The sequence below is a fragment of the Homo sapiens genome, chromosome 12 (genome assembly GCF_000001405.40).
Source record: "Homo sapiens chromosome 12, GRCh38.p14 Primary Assembly".
Taxonomy (NCBI): domain Eukaryota; kingdom Metazoa; phylum Chordata; class Mammalia; order Primates; family Hominidae; genus Homo; species Homo sapiens.
This window is the reverse complement of record NC_000012.12, coordinates 8,347,247-8,358,813: the sequence shown is the minus strand read 5'-3', so window position 1 is coordinate 8,358,813 and position 11,567 is coordinate 8,347,247. Positions and strand designations below refer to the sequence as shown.

At 39.3% G+C, this 11,567-nt stretch overlaps 1 long non-coding RNA gene across 1 annotated transcript in view; it reads left to right on the top strand.

Annotated features, from left to right (window-relative positions):
• Positions 1 to 1,851, top strand: part of LINC00937 (long intergenic non-protein coding RNA 937) — a 33,790-nt gene extending 31,939 nt beyond the window's left edge. Inside the window, exon 2 of the long non-coding RNA NR_024420.1 lies at positions 1,673 to 1,851. This is a non-coding gene — a long non-coding RNA (long intergenic non-protein coding RNA 937). The remainder of the gene's footprint in view (positions 1 to 1,672) is intronic.
• The last annotated feature ends 9,716 nt before the right edge of the window (positions 1,852 to 11,567 follow it).

Below are 11,567 nucleotides of genomic sequence, written 5' to 3'. Positions count from 1 at the left end.
AAAAGAAAAGTATCTGGGCTTGGTGGCATTCACCTGTAGCCTCAGCTACTCTGAAGGCTGAGGTGGGAGGATGGCTTGAGGCCAGGAGTAATTTGAGGCTGCAGTGAACTATGATTGTGACACTGCACTCCAGCCTGGACTGCAGAGCAAGACCCTATCTCTTATACATACATACATACATACACACACACACATATACATACATGCATACATACATACACACACACACACGCACATACATACATACCCAGGCTCTACCTCTGGTGATTCTGACTCAGTAGGGCTGGGTATCCCCTAGGGATCCTGCTGTTCAGCCTGGTCTGGGATCCACTTTTCACTGGGAACTGAGACACTGGCTGTGAGCCTTTCTGTCCTGAGATGTAGGTCATGGCGATGCAGGTTCAAGCTTAAGGAGACCTGACTGTGCGTTAGGTATTGTGCTGAACATCATCTCTTACTCTCACAGCAACATCCTTAGAAGGTTAATGATGCATCCCTGCTCTACAGATGAGGAACTGAGCTTTCAGAGGAGTTTAGCTTGTTCAAAACTTATTCTTCCTATTGGAAACTTTGTACCCTTTGACCAGTGTCTCCTATCCCCTACCTTTCCTCCACCCCAGCCCCTGATAACCACTGTCTTACTCTCTATTTCTGTGAGTTCAACTTCTTTAGATTCCACATATAAGTAAAATCATGCAGTATCTGTCTTTCTGTGCCTGGCTTATTTCACTTAACACAATGTCTTTCAAGTTCATCTATGTTGTTGAAAATGACAGGATTTCTTTCTTTTTTAAGGGTTAATAGTATTCCGTTGTATGTATATAGTATATTTTCTTTATCCTTTCATCCACTGATGGACACTTAGGTTGATTCTATATCTTGGGTATTGTGAATAGTGCTGCAGTGAACATAGGAATGTAGAGATCCCTTCGACGTATTGACTTCGATTTTTTTTTGGTCTATACCCAGAAGTTGGGTTGCTGGATTACATGCTTTGAAATCTATAGCACAGCAGCGTGACTATAGTCAATAATAATGTATCTTTCAAAATAACTAAGAGGGTACATTTCAAATTTCTCATCATAAAAATTGTCAGTAAATTAGGGGATGGACATGTTAATTAGTTTGATGTAATCATCACACATTGTATACACATAACAAAACACCACATAAATGTGTACAATTATGATTTGTCAATTAAAATAACATTAGTTAAAAAAATAAGTAACTTGTTCAAAGCCCCAGTTGGGATTGCTGGAGCTGGAACATGCACCAAGTCTGTTGCTCTCAGGCCCGCAGGGTCCTTGGTCCACGAATGTTGAAGCCCTACCTGAGATTTCTACTGAGATCAGTGTGGGGATTCAATATCTCAGAATCATCCCATCCTCCAGGGCCCACAAGTCCATGACTGCTGCCTCTACCCCCAACCCTACTGACCTGAAATTTGGCCCTTGCTTTCATTTCTGGGAGCATACAACACTTACACCAAGCATTGATGGGTTTTATTGACTTCATTTGAGTTGTGGGGCCATGGAGAGTGTTCCATGATCCTTGCTTGGTGTTGACCAACTCATTGACTTTTCTCCTTTGACTTCACCCTTCCCTTTTCTACTCACATCCTCTGTCATGGATTGCTATGGGAATTCTGAGCCCTGGTTCCTTTATTTTGCAGATAACTTCACTCTTCTCTGCAACGAATCCCAAAAGTATATAATTGAGCTGACTGCAAGGTACTTGACACGCAAGAGACTCCACAAATGGGATTCAGCCTCTGGAAAGTGGTGGTAGTTCCAGATTTATGTGGATGTTACTTTGTTTTTCCCTATAAAATATATTATTTAAACTATCAAACTCTTGGCTCCTGGATGCAGTCCTTTGCTGGTGGCAGTGGGCTGGGTACTGCCATTGGGGAGAAATGCTGCCCACTTAGAGAAAGAGAAAGTGGCTCTCTTTAAGAGGCAGAGGGAGGTTTCCAGTGCCAGTTTGTTTGGAGGCAAAATGGCTGTTGTATTAAAATTGCCCAAACTTGGGCTGGTGCCTTGTGTGTTTAGAGCTCATAGCCATGATTGCTTTCTTTCTTTCTTTCTTTTTTTTTTTTTTGGTGGTCTTTTTTCCATCCTTTTGCTTGGCAGTTTTCTGTTAATAGCTCCAACCTCAAAAGTTCCATTATACAGACACTAATAGCATCTACTAAGTGTCAATCTGTAGTGCCTGCTATGTGCCAGGCATTGGAGATAATATAATGATGAACAAGATAAACATGGCACTTGGAAAAGAGAGTCTAGTTCCCACTCTCAGCCCACCCCAAAGAGAAGCCAGAATTCAGCTTCCAAAGATCTCAGATGCCCTTGCATCACCTCCCTGAAGAGGGTGGGTGAAGCTTTGGTGTCTGAAGAGAATTTGGCTGGACAATCCCCCAGGTTTGGAACAATGGGAAGGAGCTGCCATCTGTGTTTAAGGTGAGAAGTGGGGGAGTGGCTGGATATCAGAGGAAGCCAAGATGAAGAGAAGGTTTTTGTGAGTTCCTATGCATAGTGGAGACCTGCTATAGTGAGGGTCCCTGGGGCTGAGCCTGTGGGTCAGTGGAATGATGCTGTGAGGAGGGTCTTGTTATAGCAGATGGCCCAAAGAAGGTTGATGGATCATGAGCAGCTGGAAGAATGGAGAGTTTGGGGGATGTAGTTCCTACCTGGCTTTCCAACAGTATGTAAGTCCAGAATTCTTACATAAGCCCATGGAGAAGGGAAAGGAATGCTGGTAACGACAAGATTGAATTCTCCACCTGCCAGGCATCCAGGGACTCAGAGCAGATTTAACTGAAGTTACAGAAATAGGAATGTGACATTTCCTACATTCGGGTGTGCTGGAGCAAATGTATTCCCTCTCTGGTTTGTGGGGAATGAGAATGCTAATAGACAAGACTCCAGGTTTTCACTCTTAAACCTGGTGCCTAGAAATGCATTTTCTACTGGATGCAGACAAAAGCTGCATATAGATATATGCATCGCTGCATCTCTCATGCCTTGTGTTCTGCCTAATTTTCTCTTTTTAACCCACAGAGGAAGAAAGTTCCAGCATCACTTCTGGCCTCTCAAGAGTGAGTTAGGTGGCCAGGTGGGGTTGCTCATGCCTGTAATCTCAGCCCTTTGGGAGGCTGAGGTGGGCAGATCACTTGAGGCCAGGAATTTGAGACCAGCGTGGCCAACATGGTGAAACCGTGTCTCTACTAAAAATAAAAAATTAGCCAGGCGTGGTGGTGGGCACCTGTAGTCACAGCTACTCTGGAGGCTGGGGCATGAGAATCGCTTGAACCCAGGGGGCAGAGGTTGCAGTGAGCCAAGATTGCACCACTGCACTCTAGCCTGGGTGATAGAGCGAGACTCGGTCTCAAAACAAAACAAAGCAAAAACAAAGAAGAGTGAGTTAGGATGAAAACTTCCAAGTCTCTCTGCCCCTTTCATACAGCTCCTCCCTGGTGAGTGGAGGAGTTGACTTTATTGGCAAGACTGAGGAAATGCTGACTGTATTTCTGCCATGTTCACTTATTAGTGGATGGGTTATTTTGCCTAGACTATGGCCATGGGAGCCACCTCTCAGTCCCTTGCATAGTCACCAGGCTTTTTTAGGGCAAGCAGGACAGGTAAGATCTGCCTATGGCAGAGCCAGCCAGGTCTCCTTATGCTCTGCTTCCCTTTCTGCCTATGACTGAATGGGTATGTCAGGGTCTAGTAGGGGATCCAGGAGGAGGAAGCCTCATTAACTTCTATTCTGCAGCAATTGATGGCCACCCAACTTGACAGTGGGGGCTTATCACCTCATGTACTAAGACCGGAGATAGCTGATGCCAAGGTTGGCTAAATTAGTAGCTTGAGATGTTAGGTTTTTCATTTGAGCTTTCTATGCTGCTATAGCCTTCTGCTCTTGGTCCCAGGGGCTGCCACAATTTGCATGTCAAGTCCTCATGTGACAATATCCAGAGACAGCAAGGAAGAGGTACAGTGTATTCCTGCATGTTTCTTAAAAAATTGTTTTTGACAGAGAATAATTGTACACATTTATGGGGTCCATGTGAGATTCTGGTACATGCATGCAATGTGTAATGATCAAATCAGGGTCTTTAGGATATTAATCACCTCAAACATTGATCATTTCTTTGTGTTGGAGTTATTTCAAATCTTATTGCTATTTAGAAATATACAATAAATTCATTTATCAGGATACAAAATCTATGTGTACAAATCAGTAGCAGTGCTATACACCAACAGCAACCAGGCTGAGAATCAAACCCTTTTATGTTAGCTGTAAAAATAAAATACTTAGGAATATACCTAACCAAGGAGGTGAAAGACCCCTACAAGGAAAACTACAAAACACTGTTGAAAGAAATCATAGATGACACAAACAAATGGAAACACATTTCATGCTCATGGATGGGTAGACTCAATATTGTGAAAATGACCATACTGCCAAAAGCAGTCTACAAATTCAATGCAATTCCTATCAATATACCATCATTCTTTATAGAACTATAAAAAACAATGCCAAAATTGATTTGGAACTAAAAAAGAATCTACAAAGCCAAAGCAAAACTAAGCAAAAAGAAACAATCTAGAGGCATCACATTACCCAACTTCAAACTATATTACAAGGTTATAGTTACCAAAACAGCAATGGTGCTGGTATAAAAATAGGCACATGACCAATGGGACAGAGTAGAGAACCTAGAAATAAAGCGAAATACTTAACAGCCAACTGATCTTTGACAAAGTAAACAAAAACAAAGTAGGGAAAGTACGCCCTATACAACAAATAGTGCTGGGATAATTGGCAAGCCACATGTAAAAGAATAAAACGGGATCCTCATCTCTCAACCTTATAAAAAAATCAAGACAATATGGATCAAAGACTTAAATCTAAGGTCTGAAAGCATAAACATTCTAGAAGATAACATTGGAAAACCCTTCTACACATTGGCTTAGGAAAACAGTTCATGACCAAGAACCCAAAAGCAAATGCAACAAAAACAAAGATAAATAGATGGGACTTAATTAAACTAAAAGCCTCCTGCACAGCAAAGGAAATAATCAGCAGAGTAAACAGATCACCCACGGAGTGGGAGAAAATTTTCACAAACTGCATCTGACAAAGGACTAATGTCCAGAATCTGCAGGGAACTCTAATCAGCAAGAAATAAATAATCCCATCAAAAAGTGTGCCGAGGACATGAATAGACAATTCTCAAAAGAAGATATACAAATGGCAAACAAACATATGAAAAAATGCTCAATATTACTAATTATCAGAGAAATGCAAATCAAAACCACAATGCAATACCACGTGTAAAGTAAACAAAGATAGGGCCGGGTGAGGTGGCTCACGCCTGTAATCCCAGCACTTTGGGAGGCTGAGGCGGGTGGATCACAAGGTCAGAAGTTTGAGACCAGCCTGACCAACATGGTGAAACCCCATCTCTACTGAAAATACAAAAATTAGCCGGGCATGGTGGTGGTTGCTTGTAATCCCAGCTACTCAGGAGGCTGAGGCAGGAGAATTTCTTGAAACCGGGAGGCAGAGGTTGCAGTGAGCTGATATCGCACCACTATACTCCAGCCTGGGCGACAGAGTGAGACTCCATCTCAAAAAAAAAAAGAAAAAAAGAAAAAATCAACAACAAAAAAAGTAAAAAAAAGCAAAAATTGATGTTGGCATGGACGTGGTGAAAGAGAACGCTTTTTCACTGATGGTGGGAATTTAAGCTAGTACCACCACTATGGAAAGCAGTATGGAGATTCCTTAAAGAACTAAAAGTACATCTACCATTTGATCCAGCAATACCACTACTAGGTATCTACCCAGAGGAAAGGAAGTCATTATATGAAAAAGACACTTTTGCACACATGTTTACAGCAGCAAAATTCACAGCTGCAAAACTATAGAATCAGCCCAAATGCCCATCAATCAATTAGTGGATAAAGAAAATGTGTTTTTTATATATATACCATAGAATACTACTTAGCCTTAAAAAGGAATGAAATAATGGCATTCATAGCAACCTGGATGGAGTTGGAGACCATTATTCTAAACGAAGTAACTCAGGAATGGAAAACCAAACATCGCATGTTCTCACTTATAAGTGGGAGCTAAGCTATGATGATGCAAATGCACAAGAATGAAACAGTGGACTTTGGGGGTTCAGGGGGAAGGGGGAGGGGGTGAGAGAAAAAAGACTATACGTTGGGTAAACTGCTTTGGTGATGGGTATGCCAAAATTTCAGAGATGACCGCTAAAAAACTTATCCATGTAACCAAATACCACTTGTTCCCTGAAAACTATTGAAATAAAAAAAAAGAAATATACAATTGTAGTCACTTTCTGTGATATGGAACACTAGATCTTATTCCTTCTATTATATATTTTTATACCCATTAATCAACCTCTTTCCAAACCCTTCCTATTCCCAGCCTCTGGTAACTATCATTCTACTCTTTATCTCCATGATATCAATTTTCTATAGCTACAGGGCACACAAGTCCATAACTGCGGTCTCTATCCCTGACCCTACTGACCTGAAACATGGCCCCCGCTTTGATTTCCAGGAGCATAAACTGCTCATATAAGTGAGAACATGCAATAGTTTTCTTTCTGTGCATGGCCTAGTTCACCTAACTTTATGACCTTTAGTTCCATCCATTTAGCTGAAAATGACAGGATTTCATTCTTCTTTATGGCTGAATACTATTCTATTGTGCGTATATTCCCATTTTCTTTATCCATTCATCCATTGATTGACACTTAGATTGATTCCATATCTTGGCTATTGTAAATAGTGCTGCAGTAAATATGGGGGTACAGATATCCCGTTGATACACTGATATCCTTTTTTTTGGATATATACCCAGAAGTGGGATTGCTGGATCATATGGTAGATCTGTTCTTAGATTTTGAGAAATCTCTGTACTTTTTTTCATAATGGCTGTACTAATTTACATTCCCACCAACAATATACGATAATTTTCTTCTCTTCACATGCTTGCCAGCATTTGTTGTGCTTTGTCTTTTTAATAATAGCCATTCTAACAAGTGCGAGATGATATCTCACTGTGGTTTTGATTTGCATTTCCGTGATTATTAGTGATGTTGAATATTTTTTCACAAACTTGGTGATTTGTATATCCTCTTTTGAGAAATGTCTGTTTATTTTTTGATAGTTTCTTTTGCTGTGCAGAAGCTCTTTCATTTAATTTGATCCCATTTGTCAGTTTTTGCTTTTGTGGCAATTGCGTTTGGCATCTTCACCATGAACTCTTAGCCCATCACTATGTACCGGATGGTATTGCCTAGGTTGTCTTCCAGGGTTTTTATAGTTATGGGTTTTACATTTAAGTCTGTAGGCTATCTTGAGTTAATTTTTGTATATGGCGTTAGGGAGGGGTGTTGTCTTTTCACTCTGTTGATTGTTTTCTTTGATATGCAGAAGGTTTTTAGTTTAATATAATCCCATTTGTCTGTTTTTGTTGCTCGTACTTTTTAAGTGTTAGCCATACAACCTTTGTTCTGAAGCATTTCTCCTGTGTTTACTTCTAGTAGTTTTATAGTTGTGGCTGTTACATTTAAGTCTTTAATCGATTTTGAGTTTATTTGTGTAAGTGATGAGAGATAAGGGTCTAGTTTTATTCTTCTGTGTTTGGATATCTAGTTTTCCTGGCACCATTTAATGAAGAGGGTGTCCTTTATTCAATATATGTTCTTGACACCTTTCTTGAAAATCAGCTGAAAATACGTGGATTCATTTCTGGGTTCTTTAGTCTGTTTCCTTTGTTTTTGTGTCTGTTTTAATACCAATACACGCTGTTTTGGTTACTATAGCTTTGCAGTATGTGTGTGTGTGTGTGTGTGTGTGTGTGTGTGTGTGTGTGTGTGTGTGTGTGTGTGTGTATATATATATATATATATATATTTTTTTTTTTTTTTTTTTTTTTTTTTTTTTTTTGAGACAGAGTCTTGCCTTGTCAGTCAGGCTGGAGTGCAGTGATGCAATCTAGGCTCATTGCAAGCTCTGCCTCCCGGGTTCACGCCATTCTCCTGCCTCAGCCTCGGCTAATTTTTTTGTTTTTTTTTTAATAGAGACGGGGTTTCACCGTGTTAGCCAGGATGGTCTCGATCTCCTGACCTCATGATCCACCTGCCTTGGCCTCCCCAAGTGCTGGGATTACAGGCGTGAGCCACCACGCCCAGCTGCTTTGCAGTATACCTTTAAATCAGGTAGTGTGAGGCTTCTAGCTTTGTTCTTTTTGCTCAGTATTGCTTTGGCTATTTGGGGTCTTCTGTGGTTCCATATGAATTTCAGGGTTTTTTTTTCCTGTTTCTGTGAAGAATATAATTGATAGGGATTATACTGAATCTCTAGATTGCTTCGGGTAGTATGGTCATTTTAACAGTATTAGTAATTCCAACCCATGGGCATGAGATGCTTTTCCATTTGTTTGTGTCTTCTCAATTTATTTTATCAGTGTTTTGTGGTTTTCATTGCAGAGGTTTTTTTTTGTTTGTTTTTTTTTTTTGTTTTGTTTTTCCCCATCCTTGGTTAAGTTTATTCCTAGGTATTTTATTTTTGTAGCTATTGTAAATAGAATTTCTTCCTTGGTTTCTTTTTTAGCTAGTTTGTTACTGATATATAGAAACATTACTGATTTTTGTATGTTGATTTTGTGTCCTGAAGCTTTACTGAATTATACATCTGTTTTTTTAAATTTTTTTTATTTTTTATTTTTTGAGATAGAGTCTCGCTCTGTTGCCCAGGCTGGAGTGCAGTGATGCAATCTTGGCTCACTGCAACCTCCGCCTCTGGATTTCAAGAGATTCTCCTGCTTCAGCCTCCCAAGTAGCTGGGATTACAGGCACCTACCACCATGCCTGGCTAATTGTATTTTTAATAGAGACAGGATTTCACCATGTTGGCCAGGCTGGTCTCAAACTCCCAACCTCAGGTGATTCACCCACCTTGGCCTCCCAAAGTGCTGGGATAACAGGCATGAGCTACCATGCCCAGCCTAATTTATCCATTTTAAGAGTTTTTTGGTGGAGTCTTTAGGTTTTTCTGTTTACAAGTATAAGATTATGTCATCTGCAAAGTGAGACAATTTGACTTCCTCTTGTCTAGTTTGGATGCCTTTTATTTCTTTATCTTGTCTGATCACTCTGGCTTGGATGTCCCATACTGTGTTGAATAAGAGTGGTGAAAGTGGGCATCCTTGTCTTGTTCCAGTTCTTAGAGGGAAAGCTTTTCAATTTTTCCCAGTGAGTAGGATGTTAGCTGTAGATTAGTCATATATGCCTTTTCTTATGTTGAAGTGTTCCTTCTATGCCTAATTTGTTGAGAGTTTTCATCATGAAGGAATGGTAAGTTTTACCGAGTGATTTTTCTGCATCTGCTGAGATGATCAGATAGTTTTTGCCTTTCATCTTGTTGATGTGATGTATCACATGCATTGATTTTGTGTTTGTTAAGCCATCTTTGCATTCCTGGGATAAATGCCACTTGATCATGGTATATTATCTTTTTCATTCATCATTAGATTTGGCTTGGTAGTATTATGCTGAGAATGTTTCCATCTGTGTTCATTAGGAATATTGGCCTGTAGTTTTCTCTTTCTGTTGTTTCCTTGTCTTGATTGGATATCAGGGTAATGCTGGCCTTATACAATGAGTTAGGAAGAATTCCCTCCTCTTCAATTTTTGGGAATAGTTTGAGAAGAATTGGTGTTTGTTTTTCTTTATAAACTGGGTAGAAATCAGCATAAAAGCCTAGTCTAGGGCTTTTCTCTTTGGGGAGACTTTTTGTTACTGATTCAAACCTGCTATTCATTTTGAGTCAGTTCAGGTTTTCTGTTTCTTCCTAGTTCAATCTTGGTAGGCTGTGTATGTCTGGGAATTTATCCCTTTCTTCTAAGTTTTCCAATTTGTTAGGATATGGTTGTTCATAATAACCTCTAATCATCCTTTTTATCTCTTTGGTAACAGTTGTAATGTCTCCTTTTTCATTTCTGATTGTATTTATTTGGGTCTCCTTTTTTCTTTTCTTTTTTTTTTTTTTGGTTAGCCTCACTAGTGGTTTATCAATTTTGTTTAACTTTTCAAAAAAACAACTTTTATCTTGTTGATTCTTTGCATTTCTTGTTTGTCTCTGTTGCATTTGGTTCTGCTGTTATTTTTTTTTTCTTTCTACTAATTGTGTGTTTGGTTTGTTCTTGCTTTTTGAGTTCCTTGAGGTGCATCATTAGGTTGTTTATTTGAGATCTTTCTACTTTTTTGGTGTAAGCATTTATTGCTATAAACCTTCCTCCTAGTACTGCTTTTGCTGTATCCCATTGGTTTTGCATGATGTGTTTCCATTTTCTGTTTAAAAAAATTTTTTGATTTCCATCTTAATTTCTTCATTGACCCAATGATCATTCAATAGCACATTTAATGTCCATGTATTTGTACAGTTTCCAAATTTCTTCTTGTTATTGATTTCAAGTTTTATTCCATTGTGGTCTGAGAAGATACTTGATATGATTTTAATGTTTAAAATTTTGTTGAGCCTTGTTTTGTGTCCTAACATATGGTCTATCCTGGAGAATGTTCCATGTGTTGATGAGATGATTGTGTATTCTGCTGCTGCTGGATGAAATATTCTGAAAATATCTGTTAGGTCCATTTGGTCTAAAGTGCAGCTTAAGTCTAATGTTTCTTTGTTGATTTTATGTCTAGATGAACTGTCCAATGCTGACAGTAGGATGTTGAAGTTCTCAACTATCATTGTATTGGACTCTATCTCTCCCTGTAGATTTAATAATATTTGCTATGTGTGTCTGGATGCACTTGTGTTGGTTGCATGCATATTTAGAATTGTTATATTTTGTTGCTGAATTTATCCCTTTATTACCATATAATGACCTTCTTTGTCCTTTTTACAGTTTTTGACCTAAAGTCTGTTTTATCTGATGAAAGTTTAGCTACTCCTGATTACTTTTGATTTCTGTTTGTGTGGCATATCTTTTTCAGTCCCTTCACTTTCAGTGTGTGTGTGTCTTTACAAGTGAAGTGAGTTTCTTGGAGATGTTGTTGGGTCATTTTTTATCCATCAAGCCTGTCTCTATCTTTTAAGTAGGTAATTTAACACATATTCAAAGTTATTATTGATAGGTGAGGACTTATTCCTGTCATTTTGTTCATTGTTTTCTGGTTATTTTGTATATTCTTTTGATTTGGTTTGGCTGTGTCCCCACTCAGATCTCGTCTTGAATTCCCATGTGTTGTGGGAGGGACCCAGTGGGAAGTAGTTGAATCATGGGGGCAGGTATCTTCCATGCTATTCTTTTGATAGTGAGTAAGTCTCATGAGATCTGATGGTTTTAAAAGGAGGAGTTTCCCTGCTCAAGCTCTCTCTTTGCCTGCTGCCATCCCTGTAAGATGTGACTTGTCTCTCCTTGACTTCCGCAATGATTTTGAAGCCTCCCCAGCAACGTAGAACTGTAAGTCCATTAAACCTCTTTCTTTTGTAAATTTCCCAGTCTTGTATGTG